We start from the raw sequence: 26,336 nt of genomic DNA on the forward strand, positions 1-26,336 counted from the left end.
AGCTACTCAGGAGGCTGAGGCAGGAGAATCACTTGAACCCGGGAAACGGAGGTTGCAGTGAGCTGAGACCGTGCCACTGCACTCCAGCCTGAGTGAAAGAGCAAGACTATCTCAATTAAAAAAAAAAAAAAAGATTTTTTTTTGTTGTTTTAGTAAGCAATAAACTTGGTTGAACACATACCACAAATCTGTTTGGGGCAGAAGCTCAAATCTCAGTTCAGTTATTTTATCTTTTTTTTTTTTTTTTTACTCTGTCATCCAGGCTGGAGTGCAAGGCATGGTCTGGGGTCACCGCAACCTCTGCCTCCCGGTTTCAAGTGATTCTCCAGCCTCAGCCTCTATGTAGGGATCTTTATGCAAGTATTTAAGTCTCCACAAAAGTGACTACAGGCGCATGCCACCACGCCCAGCTAATTTTTGTATTTCTAGTAGAGATGGGGTTTTACTGTGTTGGCCAGGCTGGTCTCAAACTCCTGACCTCGTGATCCACCCGCCTCAGCCTCCCAAAGTGCTGGGATTACAGGCGTGAGCCACCACGCCCGGCCTCAGTTATTTTATCTTTAGCTGGAAACTCTCTTGTATATTCACTGGGCTTTCCTCTCTCTGAATTTCTCCTTTCTAGGGTTCTCCCCTCATTTTCTAGCAACTGTGGCTGTCCAAAATATGTCCTGAGTTTCCCAAGGCCAGAACAATTTTCTGTTCTTCTTTTTTCTTTTTTTTTTTTTTGAGACGGAGTCTCACTCGGTCACCCAGTCTGGAGTGCAGTGGCGCGACCTCGGCTCACTGCAAGCTCTGCCTCCCAGGTTCACGCCATTCTCCTGCCTCAGCCTCCTGAGTAAGTGGGACTACAGGCGCCCACCACCACGCCTGACTTTTTTTTTTTTTTTTTTTTTGTATTTTTTTAGTAGAGATGGGGTTTTACCGTGTTAGCCAGGATGGTCTCGATCTCCTGACCTCATGATCCACCCACCTCAGCCTCCCAAAGGGCTGGGATTACAGGCGTGAGCCACCGCGCCTGGCCTCTTTTTTTTTTTTTTTTTTTTTTTTTTAATTGAGACAGTCTTGCTCTTTCGCCCAGGCTGGAGTGCAGTGGCGCGGTCTCAGCTCACTGCAACCTCCGTTTCCTGGGTTCAAGTGATTCTCCTGCCTCAGCCTCCTGAGTAGCTAGGATTACAGGCGTGTGCCATGATACCCGGCTAATTTTTGTATTTTTAGTAGAGACAGGGTTTCACCACTTTGGCCAGGCTGGTCTCGAACTCCTGACCTCAAGTGATCTGCCCACCTCAGCCTCCCAAAGTGCTGAGATTACAGGCATGAGCCACCACACCCAGCCTAGAATGGTTTTCTTTAGCAATTTTAGTTCCACTGCACAGTGCTGATTTCAGCCTGCCCTCAGGATAAAAGTCATAAAAATGGGTAGCTTGCCCCATACCACTTTTTTCTCAAAGCTTTAATGCCTCTCAAGATCTATCTGCCTTTAGATCTTTCTTTTTTTTAAATTTTGTCCAGCATTTATAAATGTTCTCTATGGGCAGGCTGGGTCTGGTAGGAGCTTCATCAGCCATACTAGAACAGAATTTATTAATTTCTTGATAATGGAATAAACTGTAAGCAACAGAGAGCTGTAGCATTCTGTTTAAATTTGTACTTTATTATTTAGTAAATTTGATTGTTCAATTGTGATATTAATACCTTGCTTTCTTTAAAACACTTGCAGCTGATTGGCCGAGGTCGATATGGAGCAGTATATAAAGGCTCCTTGGATGAGCGTCCAGTTGCTGTAAAAGTGTTTTCCTTTGCAAACCGTCAGAATTTTATCAACGAAAAGAACATTTACAGAGTGCCTTTGATGGAACATGACAACATTGCCCGCTTTATAGTTGGAGATGAGAGAGTCACTGCAGATGGACGCATGGAATATTTGCTTGTGATGGAGTACTATCCCAATGTAAGTTCTTCATAGAAAATAAACTGAGGCCAGGTGTGGTGGCTTATGCCTGTAATCCCAGCACTTTTGGAGGCTAAGGCAGGTGGATCACTTGAGGCCAAGAGTTCAGGACCAGCCTCGCCAACATGGCAAAACTCCCGTCTCTACTAAAAATACAAAAATTAGCCGGGTATGATGGCACACATCTGTAATTCCAGCTACTTGGGAGGCTGAGGCATGAGAATTGCTTGAACCCGGTAGGCGGAGGTTGCAGGGAGCCGAGATTGTACAGCCGTACTCCAGCCTGGGCGACAGAGCAAGACGCAATCTCAAAAAATAAAAAAAAATAAACTGACATTTATATTAGTTGTTAATCAGACTTCAGAGAGGACCACTGTATTACAGATAGAGCATTGCTGACTCACAAACTGGATTATTAATGGTCTGCAATGAAATAAGGATCTCACACCAGAATGTGAATCAACTAATTATACTGTTTGTTTCGCTGTCTCCTCCTTCTTTCTGTTTTTCTCTTCTTTATTTAATTTTTTGATAACAAGTTTTTTGATGAAAGAAGCAGTACTTTGATTGACATTCATTCTGATGCAACATTCTTTTCTCATCAGCAACTGGTAATAGTTTGTAGATAAGCACTTTGAGTGGCACCAATACATAAATGAATATATTTACAAAATCCTTTTGTTTTCTACTTATTAACCATAACAATATAATTTGTATTCATACTGGTGAATGATACACTTTTCTATCTTAATTTGATCAAAGAATTGTTTAAAAGGAAATAATCATTCATAATTTTTAATATTAGAGACATAAAAATTTATAATGTTTAAATTCCCCTTTCCATCCCTTCCTCTCCTCTCTACACACAGAAATGTCATACTAACTCTTTCAAGATTCTGAAATGTAGTAGTTCATTAGATCTTCATGGAATCCTAGCCTATTTGCAAATTCTTTATAAGGATGCTAATTTACTCTTCATGTTAAAGTGAGTTAATTCTACCTTTTTTTTTTTTCGCATTTTTTCCTCTATATAGGGATCTTTATGCAAGTATTTAAGTCTCCACACAAGTGACTGGGTAAGCTCTTGCCGTCTTGCTCATTCTGTTACTAGAGGACTGGCTTATCTTCACACAGAATTACCACGAGGAGGTAAGATAGTCAATAGATGAAATTGACACTCATGTGGGTTCAAAATTCACAACAGGAAATTTTAATTATATCTTCAAAGTAAAAGTATAATTTATATTATTGGAGATTTATTATTAGTCAGTTGTTTGAAAGATTCAGCATGAAATGCATTTGAAATGTAACAGAAAGAGCTTTCCCACGCAGCTGCCAAGATGGCAGAGGGGCAGTCCTGGTGCTTGATAGCTGAGTAAAACTCCTGGGCTACCTGGAGGCTATCATGACCCAGCAGAGAAAGTAGTGGTCATGTCCTGTGAGGACATCAACATTTCTGGCAGTTTCTACAGAAACAAGTTAAAGTATCTAGCCTTCCTCTGCAAGCGGACAAGCACCAACCCTTCCCAAGGACCCTACCATTTATGGGTCCCCAGCCACATCTTTTGGCAGACCACCTGCGGTAGGCTGCCCCACAAGACCAAGCAAGGCTAGGCTGCCCTAGATCACCTCAAGGTGTTTGATAGAATCCCCCTGCCATATGACAAGAAAAAGCAGATGGCGGTTTCTGCCACCCTCGAGGTTGTACGTCCGAAGCCTTGAAGAAAGTTTGCCTACCTGGGGCACTGGGCTCAGAAGGTTGACTGGAAATACCAGGCAATGACAGCCACCATGGGGGAGAAGAGGAAGGTCTATTATCAGAAGATCTGTTACCAGAAGAAAAACAGCTCATGAGGCTATAGGAAAAGGCTGAAAAGAACATAGAGAAGAACATTGACAAATACACGAAGGTCCTCAAGGCCCACAGACTCCTAGTCTGAGTCCAATAAAGACTGTTTATTCCTCATGCTTGTCCTGGCCTGCTCTTCCTCCATTGTTGCCATGGGGATGTAGGGGACCCAGGGGCAGCAGTCCAGGTGCTCTAGGCAGCCTGGGACTTACAAAGCTGGAGATAAGGAATGAATCTTAGTCACTGTCTTTCTATTAGGTTACTTTAAACAACTCTAAAAGTTGTGCAGACATAATTTGTCTATGATGTACTTGTTTGCAAGAGAGTTTCATAAAATCATTAGTAAAAACAACCTGCTACTTCAGTTGGAATATTGGCAGCCCGGGCGTGATTGATGGCTCATGCCTGTAACTCTGACACTTTGGGAGACCAAGGCAGGTGGATTGCTTGAGCTCGGGAGTTTGAGACCAGCCTGGGTAACATGGTGAAACCCTGTCTCTACAAAAAATATAAACATTAGCTGGACGTGGTGGCATGCACCTGTAGTCGCAGCTACTTGGGAGGCTGAGCTGGGAGGATTGTTTGAGCCTGGGAGGTGAAGGTTCTAGTTAGCTGAAATCACACCACTGTATTCCAGCCTGGCTGACAGCTAGACTGTCTCAGAAAAAAAAAAAAAGCAAATGTGAACTGGAACACTAATTGAAGAGTTTCCCTACCTTGTGAATGGGGAATCTGTTTGTATTTCCTACCTTGTCATATACTGTACTCTGCAGCTGTTAGGATGTGAGAAAATGCCTGTGGGGACAGTATGAGCCTGGTGTTGTACAGGGTATTTATGGATGTGTAGGCTAGGAAGATATGCAACCAAGGGATTACAGCCATTGCATTCTCTTCCCTGTACTTTGTGATGAGAAACAAATAAATTAATTTTAAAGAAAAAAATATAACAGGAAGAATAAGAGAAAGAACTTTGGCTGGCATGGTGACTCATGGCTGTAATCCCAACACTTTGAAAGGCCAAGTGGATCTCAAGGATCACTTGAGCACAGGAGTTTGAGACCAGCATGGGCAACAAAGTGGGACCCTTTCTCTACAAAATATAAAAAAGTTAGCCAGATGTGGTGACACGCGCACATAATCTGAGCTACTTGGATGGCTGAGGTGGGAGGATTGCTTGAGTCCAGGAGGTCTAGGCTGTAGTGAGCTGTGTTCACCCCACTGCACTCCAGCCTGAGTGACAGAGTGAGACCCTGTCTCAAAAAAACAAAAAAACGAAAGAAAAAGAACTTCAAGACTTACAGGGACCATTAAGAATTTAATTCTTGGCCGGGCACGGTGGCTCACGCCTATAATCCCAGCACTTTGGGAGGCCGAGGTGGGCGGATCACAAGGTCAGGAGTTTGAGACCAGCCTGACCAACATGGTGAAACCCCGTCTCTACTAAAAATACAAAAAATTAGCCAGGCATGGTGGCACGCTTCTGTATTCCCAGCTACTGAGGAGGCTGAGGCAGGAGAATCGTTTGAACCTGGGAGGCAGAGGTTGCAATGAGCCGAGATCACGCCACTGCACTCCAGCCTGGGTGACAGAGCGAGACTCCCTCTCAAAAAAAAAAAAAAGAAATTCTTGTCCATTAATAATTTCTGAGTTGGGTGCAGTGACTCACATCTATAATCCGAACAATTTGGGAGGCCGAGGCAGGTGGACTGCTTGAGCCCAAGGGTTCAAAACCAGCCTAGACAACATAGTCAGACCCCCATCTCTACAAAAAAAGTTTTAATCAGCTGGAGGTGGTGGCACACACCTGTGGTCCCACCTACTCAGGAGGCTGAGGTGGGAGGATAGCTTGAGCCTAGGAATTCTAATTGCAATGAGCTATGATCATGCCACTGCACTTCAGCCTGGGTGACAGAGTGAGACATCGTCTAAAAAAAAAAAGAAAAATGAATTCCTTTTCATACTCTGAACATTCTTCCTCTAAGATATACATGCGAGCATACTTAGAAAATGTTCTTTTCAAAAGAAACTATCCACGGAGTAAACAACCTACAAATGAGAGAAAATATTTGCAAACTTCACGTCCAACAAAGGTCTAATATCCAGAATGTATAAGGAACTTAAACAATTGAACAAGCAAAAAACAAATAGCCACATTGAAAAGTGGACAAATGACATGAATAGACACTTCCCAAAAGATGACATACAAGCAGCCAACAAATATATGAAAAAATGCTCCATATCACTAATCATCAGAGAAATGCAAATCAAAACCACAATGATATACTATCTTACAACAGTCAGAATGGCTGTTAATGAAAAGTCAAAAAACAACGGATGCTGTTGAGACTGGAGAAAGCGGAACACTTATACATTATTGGTGGGAGTATAAATTAGTTCAGCCACTGTGGAAAGTAGTTTGGAGATTCCTCAAAGAACTTTAAACAGAAATACCATTTGACCCAGCAATCCTATTACTGGGTATATATCCAAAAGAAAGCAAATAATTCTACCAGAGAGACACAGGTCTTCTGTTTTTCACAGCACTATCCACAATAGCAAAGATACGGAATCAACCTACTTGTCTGTCAGTGGTGGACTGGATATAAAAAATGTGTTAAATGGCCGGACGTGGTGGATTACGCCTGTAATCCCAGCACTTTGGGAGGCTGAGGTGGGCGGATCACCTGAGGTCGGGAGTTCAAGACCAGCCTGAGTCAACATGGAGAAACCCCATCTCTACTAAAAATACAAAATTAGCCGGGGGTGGTGGTGCATGCCTGTAATCCCAGCTACTCGGGAGGCTGAGGCAGGAGAATCTCTTGAACGTGGGAGGCAGAAGTTGCGGTGAGCCAAGATCGTGCCATTGCACTCCAGCCTGGGCAGCAAGAGTGAAACTCCATCTCAAAAAGAAAAAAGAAAAAGAAAATGTGTTACACATACACCATCGAGTACTACACAGCCATAAAAATGAATGAAATCATATCCTTTGCAGCAACATGGATGGAGCTGGAGTAGGTTATGCTAAGTAGGAATAGAAAACCAAATACCACATTTTCTCACTTTATAAGTGGGACGTAAACATCGGGTACTCATGGACATGAAGATGACAGCAGTAGAAACTAGGGACTACTAGAGTGGGGAGAGAGGGAGAGGGGCAAGGGCTAAAAACTAACTGTTGGGGCCGGACGCGGTGGCTCACGCCTGTAATCCCAGCACTTTGGGGGGCTGAGGCAGGCGGATCACGAGGTCAGGAGATCAAGACCATCCTGGCTAACACAGTGAAACCCTGTCTCTACTAAAAATGCAAAAAATTAGTCGGGTGTGGTGGTGGGCGCCTGTAGTCCCAGCTACTCGCGAGGCTGAGGCAGGAGAATGCCATGAACCCGGTACGCGGGGCTTGCAGTGAGCCGAGATCGCGCCACTGCACTCCAGCCTGGGCGACAGATCGAGAGTCTGTCTCAAAAAAAAAAAAAAAACAACTACCTGTTGGGTACTATGCTCATTACACGAATAACAGGATCATTTGTACCTCAAACCTCAGCATCATACTATAAACCCAGATAACAAACTTGCACATGTACCCCTGAGTTTAAAATAAAAGAGGCCAGGTACCATGGCTCACACCTGAAATCCCAACACTTTGGGAGGCTGAGACGGGCAGAGAGCCCAAGAGTTCAAGACCAACATGGTGAAACCCTGTCTCTGCAATAGCCAGGCATAGTAGCATGCATCTCAGGAGGGTAAGGTGAGAAGATTGTTTGAGCCCGGGAGGCGGAGGTTACAGTGAGCCAAGATCTCGCCACTGCACTCCAGCCTGGGCAGCAGACCAAGACTGTGTCTGAAAAATAAGGCTAGGTGCGGTGGCTCACGCCTGTAATCGCAACACTTTGGGAGGCCAAGGCAGGTGGATCACCTGAGGTCAGGAGTACGAGACCAGCCTGGCCAACATGGTGAAACCCCATCTCTACTAAAAATATCAAAAAAAAAAAATTAGCCAGGCATGGTGGCAGGTGCCTGTAATCCCAGGTGCTTGGGAGGCTGAGGCAGGAGAATCAACAAGAGCGAAACTCCATCTCAGAAAAGTAAATAAATAAAAGAAAAAAATGTTCTTTTGATTCTAGGGCATTTTCAGACTTTTTAAAGCCCATTTTTGGATCTTAGGTTAAGAACCTCTTAGCTAGGCTATATTATATTTTCCTTGTATTAATTTTGTTTAAGTGAACTACAATGCATCATTAATTTTTTTAATTTTTAATTTTTGTGGGTACATAGTAGTGTATATATTTATGAGGTACGTGAGTTTTGTTGTTGTTGTTTTTTGTTTTTTTTGAGATGAGTCTCGCTCTGTTCCCCAGGCTGGAGTGCAATGGCGCAATCTCAGTTCACTGCAACCTCTGCCTCCCTGGTTCAAGCAATTCTCCTGCCTCAGTCTCCCAAGCATTACAGGCATGCACCCAGCTAATTTTTGTATTTTTAGTAGAGGTGGGGTTTCACCATGTTGGCCAAGATGGTCTCGATCTCCTGACCTCAGGTGAGCCGCCCACCTCTGCCTCCCAAAGTGCTGGGATTACAGGCATGAGCCAGCGCACCTGGCTGGCTTTCATTTTCAAAGTCACCTCATTGTCCATCATGCCAGTCAGGGAAAAGTAAGGGAAGGTAAAAGGAATTGTCCCTTTCTGTCTCCATAAGTCCCACTCCTATGCTTGTTTGTTTCCCAGAACCTAGTGCACACTTAGCTCCAAAAGAGGCTGGTAATATAGTTGTTGTTGATGTTGTTGTTTCCTGCTTGTATTGCTGCCTCAAATAATATTGGGTTCTGTTACTAGGTAGGAAGAGAAGAATACATTGTGGGGATCAGCCTTTGCTCGTGTTTCAGAGCTATGTAGTTATATTCCCTGTTGTAACTGTGGTCTTCCTCACCTTTCATGCATATTTTTGCTAGTTGTTCAGAGCATCTTTTTTTTTTTTTTTTTTTTTTTTTGAGACGGAGTTTAGCTCTTGCTGCTCAGGCTGGAGTGCAATGGTGCGATCTCAGCTCACTGCAACCTCCGCCTCCCGGGTTCAAGCAATTCTCCTGCCTCAGCCTCCCGAGTAGCTGGGATTACAGGCATGCACCACCACGCCCAGCTAATTTTGTATTTTTAGTAGAGATGGGGTTTCTCCATGTTGACTCAGGCTGGTCTTGAACTCCTGACCTCAGGTGATCTGCCCACCTCAGCCTCCCAAAGTGCTAGGATTACAGGTGTGAGCCACAGCACCCAGCCTGGAGCATCTCTTTAATACGTTTGCTTTCTCACTTTGTTTCAATATACACCTCACCTCATAGATACCCCAAAGTTACCTTTGCTATAATTGTGTCTTTGTGCTTTCTTCTACCCTCATCCCTTGCTACATTTCCTTGTCATATTATAGCCCTGACATTATTTTTTCAGTCTCTCTGACATCTTTAGTGAAGAGAACTTTAATATATCAGTTTTCTTAGATCTTTGTTTCATTGTATATTAGCATGGATCATCTTTTCTAGCTGATGCTTCATGTATAAATAATTTCTCCTGAATAATTTATCCGTTCATTTATCTTGACATCTTGCTTCTCCTAAATACAGAATTGTCCAAAGTATTGCCTGTGTCAGCAACTTGATGCACTTGCTGTAGTGCTTTAGCACATTAACCATTGGACTGTGTCCACTTAGCTCTTCAATATTATACTGCCTTTAAAAAGTTGGCTTAGCACAGAACTTAAAATACCATCCTAATCTCCCTTTTCAAGACTTGCATAATTTAGCAAGGTTTCAAGTCAAATGTAGGCTGAAAAGAATGATTGCCATCAGATATAAGTTTTATTTAAACAGAGCTGTTACTCTGAAACATTAGCTAATGTTACCACTAAATAAGGGTAATACCTTTTTAAAAACTAAGTACATAGATGCTGCTATTGCATATAAATATAGTAGCTATTTGAATTTATGGGATTTTTCTTTTTTTTGGAGTCTCACTCTGTTGCCCAGGGTGGAGGGCAATGGCATAATGTTGGCTCACTGCAACCTCCGCCTCCTGGATTCAAGCGATTCTCCTGCCTCAGCCTCCCAAGTAGCTGGGATTACAGACGTCCACCACCATGCTGGGCTAATTTTTTGTATTTTAGTAGAGACAAGGTTTCACCATATTGGCCAGGGTGGTCTCAAACTCCTGACCTCAGGTGATCCACCTGCCTCGACCTCCAAAAGAGCTGGGATTACAGGCATGAGCCACTGTGCCTGCCCAGAATTTATGTTTTTTACCTGATTATTTAAAAAATATTCCCTGGCCAAATGCAGTGGCTCAAGGCTGTAATCCCAGCACTTTGGGAGGCCGAGGTGGGTGGATCGTGAGGTCAAGAAATCGAAACCATTCTGGCCAACATGTGAAACCCTGTCTCTACTAAAAATACAAAAAAAATTAGCTGGGCGTGGTGGCGTGCGCCTGTAGTCCCAGCTACTCGGTAGGCTGAGGCAGAAGAATCGCTTGAACCTGGGAGGCAGAGGTTGCAGTGAGCTGAGATTGCCGCCACTGCACTCCAGCCTGGGCGACGGAGCAAGACTCCATCTCAAAAATAAATAAATAGGCCGGGCGCGGTGGCTCACGCCTGTAATCCCAGCACTTTGGGAGGCCGAGGCGGGTGGATCATGAGGTCAGGAGATCGAGACCATCCTGGCTAACAAGGTGAAACCCCGTCTCTACTAAAAATACAAAAAAAATTAGCCGGGCGCGGTGGCGGGCGCCTGTAGTCCCAGCTACTCGGGAGGCTGAGGCAGGAGAATGGCGTGAACCCGGGAAGCGGAGCTTGCAGTGAGCCGACATTGCGCCACTGCAGTCGGCAGTCCGGCCTGGGCGACAGAGCGAGACTCCATCTCAAAAAAAAATAATAATAAAAAAATAAATAAATAAATAAAAAATATTCCCAAGTACAGATGTTTCTTGACTTACAATGGGATTACATCCCAATGAACTGATTATAAATTGGCTGGGCATGGTAGTTCATCCCTGTAATCCCAGCACTTTAGGAGGCTGAGGCAGGAGAATCAAACTCCTGAGCTCAGAAGTTTGAGACTAGCCTCGGCAACATAGTGAGACCCCGTCTCTACAAAAATAAAAAAATTAGCTGGCTGTGGTGGCATGCACCTGTAGTCCCAGCTATTTAGGAGGCTGAGGTGGGAGGATTGCCTGAGCCCAGGAGGTCAAGACTGCAGTGAGCCAAGATCATGCCACTGCACTCCAGCCTGAGCAACAGAACGAGACCCTGTTTTTATTTATTTATTTACTTTTGAGATGGAGTCTCGCTCTGTCGCCCAGGCTGTAGTACAATGGCGTGATCTCGGCTCACTGCAAGCTCTGCCTCCCGGCTTCATGCCATTCTCCTGCCTCAGCCTCCAGAGTAGCTGGGACTACAGGCACCCGCCACCACGCCGAGCTGATTTTTTGTATTTTTAGTAGAGACAGGGTTTCACTGTGTTGGCCAGGATGGTCTCGATCTCCTGACCTCGTGATCCACCCGCCTCAGCCTCCCCAAGTGCTGGGATTACAGGCGTGAGCCAGCACGCCTGGCCAGAGACCCTGTTTTAAAAAAATGAAAGAAAGAAAAGAAAAAAGATCATAAGTTAGAAATATTGTAAGTTGAAAATGCATTTAATACATTTAACCTACTGAACATCATAGCTTAGCCTAAACTATCTTAAATATGCTCAGAACACTTACATTAGCCTACAGTTGGCCAAATCATCCAATACAAAGTCTACTTTATAATAAAGGATTGAATATCTCATGTGATTTATTGAACACTGTTCTGAAAGTGATAAAAAGGAATGAAGTATGGTTTCTACTGATTGTTTACTGCTTTCCCACCACTGTAAAGTTGAGAAATCATAAATCAAACCATCTGTAAGTGAAAGATCATCTGTATGCCTATACTATACTATTTTTACTTGAAGTGCTCTTTCACTGAATTCTATCCTTCCCAGCATCTTCAGATATAACTTTGTTATTTGGAGTAGAAATTTGGTAGTAAGGAATTATACTGTTATTACTTATTCAGCTGTTTGTTGCTTCCGAATAAGGAAGAATTGAACCTATTTATTTATTTGTAATAAGATCTCCCTATGAATTTTTTCCATATTATAATAGCAACGCATGCTTATTACCAAAGAAATATCTGACCAAAAAAATAGATATAGACAACTCAGACTTCACCAGAAAATTACTGTTAAGTAGTTTGTATATAGTCTTTCATGTCCTTGGGAGGGCAGGGGGATAGCACTGGTGATAATATGTATAAATATCCATAGATTGACTATTTTTGGTCAGGTTTTAAAAATACATATAACTAATATCTTGTTGTGCTTTCCTTTGAGATATTTGCCTACTGCAGTGTTCTGCCCAGGGCAAAATTATTGTATGTTCCACCCTCCCTCCATACCCAAATAAAGAAAATTAAAATGAGTACAGAGGGGAGTTTAAAAGGGAAAACTTTTCTCAAAAGGGCAGTCTATAGTTCTGCCCATTGATTTGGTATTATTATATAAATATATTCCAATGTTTCCATGAGTTTTCCTATATAAATATTAGCTCAAGATTGTACGACATATATTTATGTTGTGGCTTTATCCAGAGTAAGAAATGCAGCTCTTGCAGGAATTGAGTAGGAGCCAAGTTAATACAAGCTTTGGAAGACTGGAGAACAGGAAGTGGGTAAGGGAGGAAATGAGAAAGAAATCAACTCTTAGGTGAAGAAATTGGTAACTCCTATTTTTTCTTCAAATTGTACTGTTGCTTAATTTTTTTAAATCAATGATTATTATAATTATCTATAGTTTCATTATTGGTGAAATTGCATTTGAATGCTCATTAATGAGCGTAATACATCTGAATACTGAGTCTATTTGTGCCAAAATACAAATCCTCAGTAAATGTATTGACTTTGTTCTGATTGCTTTGTTTTTCTCTATACCTAAGCAGATATTTTAAATTTCAGAAATTGTGCTATAGAATTTTTTTTCAGTTCCAGAGCTATGGTTTTATTTAATACAAGGTTTATATAAGATTTCCTTATAGAGAAGAAAAATATAATGTACTTATATTTGGTGAGAGGCTTAGGTTAGATTCATTCTTTCAGTCAGCAATCATTTACTGTGTGTCTACTCTGTGCCAAGCCTTTTAAAGTCAGGTGAAAGATGTTCTCTTTCTGCCTTCATGGAGCCTGTAGTCCTATGATAAGGATAAAAAAGTAATAGAAGGAGCATAATACTACTTTGCTTCTGTAAAATCAGAAAAACAAGTTTTCATATCTTGGTGAGAGATACCACTTCCTCCACTTGTTTTTCCAAACCATTGTAAAACTATTTGTGGTTAGATTTGAAAAGCTGAGGTGGGCTTAGAGATATGGCTAAACCTCAGGGCAGAACTGGAATGTGCTGTCACAGATTTGATCTGTTAAGCCATAGGAGAGCAGTTTAAGATTTACGTTAAAATTTTGGAGCTCCATTAGTTTTTCACTGATACTTATTTTAGACAAGCAGACTTTTTTTTTTTGATGTTTATACCAAATATTCCTTTCTGTATTGCCTCCTTTTACAGCCCTATACTATAAATGAAGAGAAAAAACAAGTGCGTGTTAGAATCTGAAGTGGCAGCATGTTTGTTAGTTTTAGTTAATGTTTAACTATACATGCAACAGGAGTTATATTATAAAATATATTAGAAAATAGTGATGAGTGTGAGTTGAAATTCCGATTTCTCTTTTTTTGTTATTAGAAAATTAATGGGCAGAAAAATAATACTACTTCTATATTTATGTATGTTCATTTCATGTTCAATAGTCCCTTTTATTCATTGATAAATATTTGAAATTATCCAAACAGATCATTATAAACCTGCAATTTCCCATCGAGATTTAAACAGCAGAAATGTCCTAGTGAAAAATGATGGAACCTGTGTTATTAGTGACTTTGGACTGTCCATGAGGCTGACTGGAAATAGACTGGTGCGCCCAGGGGAGGAAGATAATGCAGCCATAAGCGAGGTGAGTGTATACAAAAGGTATCACACTGATGTACTTTGAAATGATAATTTAATTAAAACATCTACTGGCCAGGTGTGGTGGCTCACGCCTGTAATCCCAGCACTTTGGTAGGCCCAGGTGGGTGGATCACCTAAGGTAAAGAGTTCGAGACCAGCTTGGCCAACATGGCGAAACCCCGTCTCTACTAAAAATACAAAAATTAGCCGGGCACAGTGGCACGCACCTGTAATCCCAGCTACTCGGGAGTCTGAGGCAAGAGAATCGCTTGAACCCAGGAGGAGGAAGTTGCAGTGAGCTGAGATTGTGCCACTGCACTCCATCCTGGGTGACAGAGTGAGTGAGACTCAGGACAATTATCCTCATATACTGCCAATTATAGAATACTAGGAATTACAAAATTAGGAAATATAAAAGACATCTCATAAAGGCCTTTGTAAAGTTCATCAGTTTATTTTGGAACTCACTGCCATTCCAAGTCATTTTTACAAGCATTAGGAACAAATTTGTAGGAACTGATTTTTGAGGCAAGGGTAAAGTTACCAAGTTTAAGATAACACAGTCCACCTTCTGATAATCACCATTACAGTGTGGAACGTATCCTTCCCAACTTTGTTCTCTGCATTCATATATACTTGTCTGTGCACAACATATATGTATTTTTGTGATTTTAAAAATTTATTTATTTGTTTATTTTGAGATGGAGTTTCACTTTTGTTGCCCAGGCTGGAGTGCAATGGTGCAATCTCAGCCCACCGCAACCTCTGCCTCCCAGGTTGAAGCAATTCTCCTGCCTCAGCCTCCTGAGTAGCTGGCATTATAGGCATGTACCACCATGTCTGGCTAATTTTTGTAATTTTAGTAGATACGAGGTTTCTCCATGTTAGGGTGGTCTTGAAGTCCTGACCTTAGGTGATCCACCCACCTTGGCCTCCCAAAGTGCTGCAATTACAAGTGTGAGCCACCACGCCCAGCTGTATTTTTTTTTTTTTTTTTTTTTTTTTTTGAGACGGAGTCTCTCTCTGTCACCCAGGCTGGAGTGCAGTGGCGCGATCATGGCTCACTGCAAGCTCCATCTCCCGGGTTCACGCTATTTTCCTGCCTCGGCCTCCTGAGTAGCTGGGACTACAGGCACCCACCACCATGCCTGGTTAATTTTTTATTTTTTTTTAGTAGAGACGGGGTTTCACTGTGTTAGCCAGGATGGTCTCGATCTCCTGACCTTGAGATCCACCCGCCTTGGCCTCCCAAAGTGCTAGGATTACAGGCATGAGCCACTGCACCCGGCCACCCAGCTGTATTTTTGTGAATTTTAAAAAATATTAAGTTGTATACATATTGTTTTGCAATTTTCTCACTGTATCTTACAGATTATTTATATTGATATACATAGGAAAGTCTAGCTCATTCTTTTTGATTGATTAATAGTATTCACTAAAATGGATTTACCACAGTTTACTTATTCAGGAAGGGCATTTTATAGGTAAAAAATAAGTTATAGAAAGGTTTAATGACATGGTTAGGGTCAAATAACATTGACATGACTAAGATTTATATATAACTTCTGGTCTAATGTCTGTTCTTCAGAATATGCTACGTTCTCTCTCTAAAAAATATCACTCTAATTTATCAGGTTGGCACTATCAGATATATGGCACCAGAAGTGCTAGAAGGAGCTGTGAACTTGAGGGACTGTGAATCAGCTTTGAAACAAGTAGACATGTATGCTCTTGGACTAATCTATTGGGAGATATTTATGAGATGTACAGACCTCTTCCCAGGTAAAAACTACTGTCAAAAGTTGATATTTTTTGAAGTGAAGCAGTTATATCTTCTTTCTCTACCTATAGTACCTAACTCAACTTTTATGTAAGAATCTTTTTACTTTCATTTAAACCTTTAGTTCATTGCTATCTAGTGTTTAGAAACATTATTAGCAGCAGGATGCAAATTAGGAATTTTTTTTTTTAGAGTACTCCAGGTTTTCATCTGAGTGAAATTTAATTAATTGCCAGTAATAGCTTATCTAACTGTATTTTGTTTGGTCTCTGATTGCTTTAGCAGTAAACATTTTCCTTATGCACCATCTGAGTGTTTGAGACAAGGTACACTTACGATGTTTACTGAGTTGAACCCAGAAGGAATTAGAAGCAATGAATTATTTGTAAACACTTTTTCCTTTTCTTTTTTTTTCATGCTCCCTTTCTCCCTCCTTCCTTCTTTCCTTCTTTCTTCCTTCCTTCCTCTTCTCTCACCTTATCTCCTTCCCTTCCTCCTCTTTTCTCTTCTTCCTTCCTTTCAATGAAAGAATACTCATTGGCCAGGTGCGGTGGCTCATGCCTATAATCCCAGCACTTTGTGAGGCCGAGGCTTGCGGATCACCTGAGGTCAGGAGTTCGAGACCAACCTGACCAATATGGTGAAACCCCGTTTCTACTAATAATATGCACCTGTAATCCCAGCTGCTCAGGAGGCTGAGATAGGAGAATTGCTTGAACCCGGGAGGCAGAGGTTGCAGTGAGCCAAGATCTTGCCGTTGCACCCCAGCCTGGGCAACAAGAGCAAAACTCTGTCTCAAAAAAATAAAAAAAGGCCTGGCGCGGTGGCTTACACCTGTAATCCCAGCACTTTGGGAGGCCAAGGCAGGCGGATCATGAGGTCAGAAGTTCGAGACCAGCCTGGCCAATATGGTGAAACCCCATGTCTACTAATAATACAAAAATTAGCCAGGCGTGGTGGCGAGCACCTGTAGTCCCAGCTACTCGGGAGGCTGGGGCAGAGGAATTGCTTGAACCCAGTAGGCGGAGGTTGCAGTGAGCTGAGATCACGCCATGGCTCTCCAGCCTGGGTAACAGAGCAAGACTCCGTCTCAAAAAAAGGGAAAGAATACTCATTTAAGTGAATGTTTGTTTGAGGCTTACTTGAAATAGCCAAATGAATTTATAGTTTTCCCTTCTTAGGGATTACATCGTTGTAGTATCATCTAAAAACTTTAACTATAAATCTGGCATTGCATTCTTCTAGGTGCTATACAGATGATTTGATCTGTGTGGCCACTGTCTTTTAGGAGTAACACCATTAAAAGCATAGAAAAAGGAACTAGCATTGGACAAATTTATGAAATAGAGCTATTTAATTTAAAAAGATTAATAATGGAGTTGAATTGTTTGGCTTTAAAGACATTAGGCATTACACATTAGTTTATATATATCAAGTGTGTGTATATATATATACACACACACACACATATATATGTATCGTGTGTGTGTGTATATATATATATAAATAAAATTTTTATTTATTTATTTATTTATTTATTTATTTTTTATTGATAATTCTTGGGTGTTTCTCACAGAGGGGGATTTGGCTGGGTCATAGGACAATAGTGGAGGGAAGGTCAGCAGATAAACAAGTGAACAAAGGTCTCTGGTTTTCCTAGGCAGAGGACCCTGCGGCCTTCCGCAGTGTTTGTGTCCCTGGGTACTTGAGATTAGGGAGTGGTGATGACTCTTAACGAGCATGCTGCCTTCAAGCATCTGTTTAACAAAGCACATCTTGCACCGCCCTTAATCCATTTAACCCTGAGTGGGACACAGCACATGTTTCAGAGAGCACAGGGTTGGGGGCAAGGTCACAGATCAACAGGATCCCAAGGCAGAAGAAGTTTTCTTAGTACAGAACAAAATGGAAAGTCTCCCATGTCTACTTCTTTCTACACAGACACGGCAACCATCTGATTTCTCAATCTTTTCCCCACCTTTCCCGCCTTTCTATTCCACAAAGCCGCCATTGTCATCCTGGCCCGTTCTCAATGAGCTGTTGGGCACACCTCCCAGACGGGGTGGTGGCCGGGCAGAGAGGCTCCTCACCTCCCGGACGGGGCGGCTGGCCAGGCGGGGGGCTGACCCCCCCACCTCCCTCCCGGACGGGGCGGCTGGCCGGGCGGGGGGCTGACCCCCCCACCTCCCTCCCGGACGGGGCGGCTGGCCGGGCGGGGGGCTGACCCCCCCCACCTCCTGGCCGGGCGGGTGGCTGACCCCCTGCCACCTCCCTCCCGGACGGGTCGGCTGGCCGGGCGGGTGGCTGACCCCCCCACCTCCCTCCCGGACAGGTCGGCTGGCCTGGCTGGGGGCTGACCCCCCCACCTCCCTCCCGGACGGGGCGGCTGGCCGGGCGGGGGGCTGACCCCCCCACCTCCCTCCCGGATGGGGCGGCTGGCCTGGCGGGGGGCTGACCCCCCCCACCTCCCTCCCGGACGGGGTGGCTGCCGGGCGGAGACACTCCTCACTTCCCAGACGGAGCGGCTGCTGGGCGGAGAGGCTCCTCACTTCTCAGACGGGGCGGCTGCCGGGCGGAGGGGCTCCTCACTTCTCAGACGGGGCGGTTGCCAGGCAGAGGGTCTCCTCACTTCTCAGACGGGGCGGCCGGGCAGAGACGCTCCTCACCTCCCAGACGGGGTCTCGGCTGGGCAGAGGCGCTCCTCACATCCCAGACGGGGCGGCGGGGCAGAGGCGCTCCCCACATCTCAGACGATGGGCGGCCGGGCAGAGACGCTCCTCACTTCCTAGATGTGATGGCGGCCAGGAAGAGGTGCTCCTCACTTCCTAGATGGGATGGCGGCCGGGCGGAGACGCTCCCCACTTTCCAGACTGGGCAGCCGGGCAGAGGGGCTCCTCACATCCCAGATGATGGGCGGCCAGGCAGAGACGCTCCTCACTTCCCAGACGGGGTGGCGGCCGGGCAGAGGCTGCAATCTCAGCACTTTGGGAGGCCAAGGCAGGCGGCTGGGAGGTGGAGGTTGTAGCGAGCCGAGATCACGCCACTGCACTCCAGCCTGGGCACCATTGAGCACTGAGTGAACGAGACTCCGTCTGCAATCCCGGCACCTCGGGAGGCCGAGGCTGGCGGATCACTCGCGGTTAGGGGCTGGAGACCGGCCTGGCCAACACAGCGAAACCCCGTCTCCACCAAAACCAGTCAGGCGTGGCGGCGCGTGCCTGCAATCGCAGGCACTCGGCAGGCTGAGGCAGGAGAATCAGGCAGGGAGGTTGCAGTGAGCTGAGATGGCAGCAGTACAGTCCAGCTTCGGCTCGGCATGAGAGGGAGACCGTGGAAAGAGAGGGAGAGGGAGACCGTGGGGAGAGGGAGAGGGAGAGGGAGCTAAATAAAATTTTTTTAAGAGACAGAGCCTCACTCTGTCACCTAGGCTGGAGTGCAGTGGTGTGATCACAGCTCACTGCAGCCTTGACCTCCCCAGGCTCAGGTGATTCTCCCACCTCAGCCTCTGAGTAGCTGGGACTACAGGCATGCACCACCAAGCCTGGTTCATTTTTGTATTTTTTTGTAGAGACAAGGTTTCACCATGTTGCTCAGGCTGGTCTCAAACTCCTGGGCTCAAGTGATCCACCCACTTCAGCCTCCAAAAGTGCCTGGATTACAGGAGTGAGCCACCGCACCAGGCCAAACATTAGTTTGTAATTCAAAAATATAATGAAATAAATCAGTGATTAGTAGATTAAGTACAGGTTAATCAGTTATCTAGAAGTATATTTTCTAGTTAATTAAAAGTACAGAGATTCAATTGAGGCATTTTTCTGAAAATAGCAGTAATTGCAGTAGTATCAACAAGTACTTTTTTTGGCCGGGTGCGGTGGCTCACGCCTGTAATCCCAGCACCTTAGGAGGCCGAGGCAAGTGTATCACCTGAGGTCGGGAGTTCAAGACCAGCCTGACCAACATGGTGAAACCCTGTCTCTACTAAAAATACAAAATTAGCTGGATGTGGTGGCACATGCCTGTAATCCCAGCTACTTGGGAGGCTGAGGCAGGAGAATCGCTTGAACCCGGGAGGCAGAGGTTGCAAGGCTGAGATTGCACCATTGCACTCCAGCCTGGGCAACAAGAGTGAAACTCGGTCTCAAAAAAAAAAAAAAAAAAAAGAAGTACTTTTTTTGTTTTGTTTTTAAGAGACAGGGTCTCACTCCTGCCCAGGCCGGAGTGCAGTAGTGCAATCATAGCTCACTGCAGCACTGAACTCTTGGGCTCAAGCAGTCCTCCTGCTCAGCCTCCTGAGTAGCTAGGACTACAGGTGCATGCCACCACGCCCGGCTAGTATTTTATTTTTTGTCGAGACAGTGTTTTGCTGTATTGCCCAGGCTGGCCTCGAACTCCTGGGCTCAAGTGATCCTCCTGCCTCAGCCTCCCAAAATGCTGTGATTGCAGGCATGAGCCACCACACCCAAACCCACAAGTATTGTATTATCAGAACTTTGACCACAGTTTGGTAATTTCTTTGTTAATAGTCTCATGTAGGATTTTTGTTTTAGAAGCATGTCTGACTGAAATGATTTTTTCATCAGATTAGTACACTGCTACAAACAATATATTTTGAAAAACTACTGTGTTCAAAGAATGACTATCGCTTTTGATCTGATAAATAATAAAGAATGATATTAAATGTTTGAATAGGGAAAGGCAATTAAATCTTGTTTTCAGAAGATTATTTTAGCAAATATGTAGGATTAATTAAAATAGAAATAGAACTAGAAGGGGCTTAAAAAGGAAAAAGAAATGGAGAGTTACTGTTTAATGGGTACAGAGTTTCAGTTTGGGAAGATAGAAACAGTTCTAGAAATGGTTAGTAGTAATGGTTGTACAATAGTGTGAATGTACTTAATACCACAGAATGGTGCACTTAAAAATGGTTAAAATGATCAGTTTTATGTTATGTATATTCTACCACGATAAAAAAAAAATAAAGGAATAAGAAGAGAGTTGCTTTAAAATACCCCGTAATCTTGGATATGGAAATGGGGAGAGGCAAATCTGGGAGAAAATGCAGAGAAGAAATCTGTACTTGTGGTTATCTGTTAAAAGAATGAGATGTCAGGCCAGGTGTGGCTCACGCCTGCAAACCCAGCACTTTAGGAGGCTGAGAGGGGTGGGGGTGGATCTCCAGGTCAGGAGTTCGAGACCAGCCTGGCCAGCATGGTGAAACCCCGCTCTACTACAAATACAAAAATTAGACAGGTGCAGTGGCACACGCCTGTAATCCCAGCTACTCAGGAGGCTGAGGCAGGAGAATCACCTGAACCTGGGAGGCAGAGGTTGCAGTGAGCCGAGATCGCGCCACTGCACTCCAGCCTGGGTGACAGAACGAGACTCCATGTCAAAAACTAAAAAGAATGGGATTCAAAGGAATTGAGAAATATTCAGAGGTTGGCCGGGCACGGTGGCTCAGGCCTGTAATCCTAGCACTTTGGGAGGCTGAGGTGGGTGGATCATTTGAGGTCAGGAGTTCGAAACCAGCCGGGCCAACATGGTGAAAGCCTATCTCTACTAAAAATATTTAAAAATCAGCTGGTCGTGGTGGCAGTCACCTGTAATTCTAGCTACTTGGGAGTCTGAGGCAGGAGAACTGCTTGAACTAGGGAGGCGGAGGTTGCAGTGAGCCGAGATTGCCTCCATTGCCCTCCATCCTGGGCAACAGAGCGAGACTCCATCTCTTAAAGAAAAAAAAGAAGGAACTATTCAGAGGTCTTAAAACACAGTGAGGGTGGGCCAGGCACAGTGGCTCACACCTGTAATCCCAGCACTTTGGGAGGCCAAGGCTAGTGGATCACCTGAGGTCAGGAGTTTGAGACCAGCCTGACCAACGTGGTGAAACCCCAACTGTACTAAAAGTACAAAAAAATTAGCCGGGCTTGGTTGTGGGCACCTGTAATCCCAGCTACTCGGGAGGCTGAGGCAAGAGAATTGCTTGAACCCGGGACGCAGAGGTTGCAGTGAGCAGAGATCGCGCCACCGCACTCCAGCCTGGGTGACAAAGCGAGACTCTGTCTCAAAAAAAAAAAAAAAAAAAAAAGTGAGGGTCAGAGTGGCAACCAGAAAGATGAGTTAATCCTGGAGACTGTTCGATGGGGTATTGACAGACAACTAAATAAATTTTTAAAGACAATTAAAAATAATAAATAAGATGGAAATTTAAGATTAAAATGGTTATTTGGGAGTTGTCTACATAGAGATGGTAACTGAGAAGTTATGAGTCGATGCACTCCTTTAACTGGAACATAAAAAGAAAGAAAAATAGGTGAATAATGACTGAATATTGGGGTACTACCCCCATGAAGTAGGTTAATTAAGAAGACAAATGATCAGAAAAGTAGTGAGAAAACTGAAAAATCCTAATGCCTTGTAAGTCAGTATTAGAAAACTTTAAGAACTAAGATTTCAGCCTGAGGAAGCTGATTAAAAAATAAAAATAAAAAACCACACCAAGATTGATGGCAATAGATGTAATTGAAAAGAGGAAACAGAACTGAGGAATGATTTTTGAATTTGAGTAGGAGGAGGTCATTGGTATTTTTAGAAGAGTTTCTGTGGAATACAGAACACAGAAATCATGTTACAGAGTGTATATAGGAGGGGAAAGTATTTAAAAAGCACAGTCAAGGGATACAGGGCACTCTTGAAAATTTTAACAATTAAATGAGGTGGAAGTAGAAAAGAAAAAAGGATCATATAAATATATTAATAAACCTAGAGAATAGTGTATACTAACTATAAAATTCTTATAAAACATTTTTTAAACTTTTATGATATACCTCAAAATGCAGTATGTGCTGTATTATTAAATGGAAACACTATGTAATGAAGGTTACTTCTCTATAAAATGTTAGTAAAATAAATGATTTATCTGTATTACAGAGGAAGAGTGAAATGCTACAAAGTTTAAATAGAAGGGGGAGAAGGAAGAAAAAAAGAAGAGATAGAAAAAGGAAGAAAGAATAAGTGTAATTTGAGAAGGGAGCTAAAAAAAGGTCTGTAACTGGTAGAGACATAGTTAACAAGTGGCACATGGGGTGAGAAGCAGGTAATGGTATCTGATAGTGCTAGATATTACTATAAGATATTTTGGGCAGTTCTAAAGAAAATGAGATTATAAAACTTTCCTTGAGCAATCCAGCGATAGTAAGGAAATTCAGTAAGGTTTTAAGGAAATCCAATAAGGTTATTATCTTCCATGATGATGATTTTTGTCATTAACATTCACCTTTGTATCTCTAATACCTAACACTAAGTTAGCACTAAACAAGTTTCTATTGAACAATTAGATTTTGAACTGTGAAGATTTAGTGGAAATTTATTTGGTAATTCTTAACCATTGCATTCATAAAAGATTGTGCTTCAATTTCCTTTAGCAACTTTTAAAATTATAATTTGGACCTAATTTTTTAAAAGAGTGAAATTGTGAATTTTTAGTTATTCTACTAAACCAGCATTTGAAAAAAAAATAATAAATAACACTTGGAAGGTATGTGTATGTGTTGTGTGTATGTCTCAGAGACAGATCAGATACATTAGTAAATACCTTGCAATTCACAGATGGTATAGGATAAGGTTTTATCACATGGGGTTTCAAGGAAGAAAGTGATATACTAACTGCCATGATTATTAAATCCTTTAATTTTATCTCTCAAGTTCAATGTTGATGTTATTGATCAACACTAAGTATCTGCTTAAATGTTTACAGTATGTGAAACTCACTTGTATTTATACATAAGGCAGTATTACAACAAACTTGGGCGATGCTGCACAGATAATAGAATTAATCTTTGTAAATCTTTTTTAATATTGGTGGAGGGCAAGTATTTATTAGTTGTTTTGAGTATTCAAATAGAAACAAAACTTAAATGAAACATAAACTTATTTGTAATGTGGTTTCCATCTGGGTCATTATAACTTTGTATTATCTCCATGTAAGTGATATAAGGAAGGCTGCAGACATTGCCATTTTGCTTACAGGAAGTCTGAAACACAGAATAGTTAAATGACTTTTCCAAGGTCAAGATGAAGTGAAGATTAGAACCTAAATGCCTTATCCTCTGTCTTGGCGTTCTTCCTTCTAATTTATCTTGTCATTTTAATAGGGTGGGAGGACGGGTAAAGAGACAGGAACAGTCTCTGTGTTCTTTGCCATGGTTTCTACTAGATCATTGAGTGTTGGTCCCAGGGGTCTTCTATGTGGTTCAATATATTATATACATAAACTTAATTTTATTATCATATTTTGTAAAAATCAAAAGCCTAACATCAGAGTTGATTGTGCTTATTGGCAATGAATAGGGTTATTAAATAGTGATAAAATAGTTAATAATATTTAAGTCCATGATCTAAATACTACCTGTTAGTTAAAAGGAATTTTTAGAGCTGGGCACAGTGGTTCACACCTGTAATCTCAGCACCTTGGGAGGCTGAGGCAGGAAAATCATTTGAGGGCAGAAGTATGAGACCAGCCTGGGCAACACGGCAAGACCTTATCTCTACAAAAATATTTTTAAAAATTAGCTGGGCATGGTGCCACACTCTTGTAGTCTTAGCTATTAGGGAGGCCACTTGAGTGCAGGAGTTCAAGTTACAGTGAGCTATGATAATGCCACCGTACTCCATCCTGGGCAACAAAGTGAGAGCGTTTCTTTGAAAAAAAATTTTTTTAAAGTATATTGATTTTTCTTTCAAATGACCATTATCATAAATATTTTTGTAACATTTGATACAGTCTGGCTGGACTATAATAGAACCAATGATGTAATGAGACATAGTGACTGTTCAACCCACCCACTTACATTTGGTTCTGTAGGCATATTTGTTGTACTAGGTCCTGGAGTTTTTCCTCATCTTTACCCGCCTCCATGGGATCAGTGTTCAGGCATGTTTTCAAGTATTAAGTATGCCTTATAAACATAATAGTCTTTTTTCCCTGAATTTAGTAATACCAGAAACCATTTAAAAATACCTATCCATCATTGAAACTACCATTTGACTTATCAACAAATATTTGAGACTATTCTAAGCAAAACATTCATTAATAATGCATTAGACTGGGCATGGTGGCTCACGCCTGTAATCCCAGCACTTTAGGAGGCCGAGGCTGGTGGATCACCTGAGGTCAGGAGTTCAAGACCAGCCTGGCCAACATGGTGAAACCCTATCTCTACTAAAATATGAAAATTAGCTGGACGTGGTGGTGTGCGCCTGTAATCCAAGCTACTCGGGAGGCTGAGGCGAGAGAATCACTTGAACCCGGGAGGCAGAGGTTGCAGTGAGCCGAGATCATGCCACTGCACTCCAGCCTGGGCAACAGAGTAAGACTCCGTCTAAAAAAAAAAAAAGAAAAAAAAATCATTAAACCTACAGCAAGGTCTCTTTAGGATTTCCAAATGTGCCTGAAGGGGATGAAAAAATAAAAAGATTGTGACACAATTTTTTTTGCTTACTTGGTATCAGAAATACCCCTGTTATTCTATCATTTATGATAGTTAGAAATTTTATTCTGTCATTCTTTTCTACAAATCCACAGGGGAATCCGTACCAGAGTACCAGATGGCTTTTCAGACAGAGGTTGGAAACCATCCCACTTTTGAGGATATGCAGGTTCTCGTGTCTAGGGAAAAACAGAGACCCAAGTTCCCAGAAGCCTGGAAAGAAAATAGCCTGGTAAGAAAAAACTAAGTTATTAAAGAGAGGACTTATGACTGAATATGTTTTAATGTTGTTTGAAACAAAAATAGACTGTTAATAACGTTAATAGTTTTTGGAGTTGCCTAATGCCACAAATCAAACTTGATTTTTATGATGTTTTCAAATTTTTCAATATGAAAAAAAGTCAGTTTTAGTTCCATTTTGTTTTTTTCCAAGCTTAAAATACTATTTAGAGAGAATAACTAATGTGTCATAAGTTTGCCAGATTAGGTAACAGCTGGATAAATTAACATATTAATATTTTAAATATTATTGAAATTCTATCTTACTCTCTTGAGAATAGTACCAAAACTGTTAAGTAGTGCAGGCTTACATAACCAATGGCTAATGAAAATTTAGGCTAGACCTGAAAAAAACCAAGGCGCAGCCTATGAATTCTGCTAATTATTAAAAATATAATTCGGCTGGGTGCGGTGGCTCACACCTGTAATCCCAGCACTTTGGGAGGCCGAGGCGGGCAGATTGCCTGAGCTCAGGAGTTCGCGACCAGCCTGGGCAACATGGTGAAACCCCACCTCTACTAAAATACAAAAAATTAGCCGGGCGTGGTGGCGTGTGTCTGTAGTCCCAGCTAGTTGGGAGGCTGAGGCAGGAGAATTGCTTGAACCTGGGAGGCAGAGATTGCAATGAGCCGAGATCACACCACTGCACTCCAGCCTGGGTGACAGAGCGAGACTCTGTCTCAAAAAAAAAAAAAGCATATATATATATATTTATATACATATATATTTATATATATATTTATATACATATATATTTATATACATATATTTATATATATGTAAAATTCACAACAATGAAATATCTCAAGTCCCCTGCCATTTGAGTAAGTTGTTGTTACAACACTGAAAACATCTTACAAATTAACAAATATACACTCATATAATCTTTTAGTATAAATAGGATAATCTAATTATCTACTATCATTTCTGAAGTTTATTTTTTTAC

The 26,336-nt window shown here is 42.5% G+C and overlaps 1 protein-coding gene and 1 pseudogene across 2 annotated transcripts in view, besides 1 other annotated feature; both read left to right on the plus strand.

Annotated features, from left to right (window-relative positions):
- BMPR2 (bone morphogenetic protein receptor type 2) overlaps nt 1-26,336 on the plus strand; it is a 191,423-nt gene that overhangs the window by 140,778 nt on the left and 24,309 nt on the right. For both annotated transcript variants that reach the window (NM_001204.7, XM_011511687.2), the window contains exons 6-10: nt 1,718-1,948; nt 2,983-3,097; nt 13,690-13,850; nt 15,481-15,628; nt 25,207-25,343. In NM_001204.7, coding sequence (NP_001195.2) covers nt 1,718-1,948; nt 2,983-3,097; nt 13,690-13,850; nt 15,481-15,628; nt 25,207-25,343 — 792 coding nt within the window. The remainder of the gene's footprint in view (nt 1-1,717; nt 1,949-2,982; nt 3,098-13,689; nt 13,851-15,480; nt 15,629-25,206; nt 25,344-26,336) is intronic.
- Nucleotides 3,289-3,888, plus strand: RPL13AP12 (ribosomal protein L13a pseudogene 12; annotated as a pseudogene).
- Nucleotides 17,109-18,107: an enhancer, noted in NCBI's record as "NANOG-H3K27ac hESC enhancer chr2:203398936-203399934 (GRCh37/hg19 assembly coordinates)". NCBI's record gives its function as "activates a minimal SCP1, AML or CMV promoter by ChIP-STARR-seq in primed H9 embryonic stem cells {active_cell/tissue: H9 hESC(primed)}" and the evidence as "EXISTENCE:reporter gene assay evidence [ECO:0000049][PMID:30033119]".

This window comes from Homo sapiens, chromosome 2, assembly GCF_000001405.40.
Source record: "Homo sapiens chromosome 2, GRCh38.p14 Primary Assembly".
NCBI classification, from domain to species: domain Eukaryota; kingdom Metazoa; phylum Chordata; class Mammalia; order Primates; family Hominidae; genus Homo; species Homo sapiens.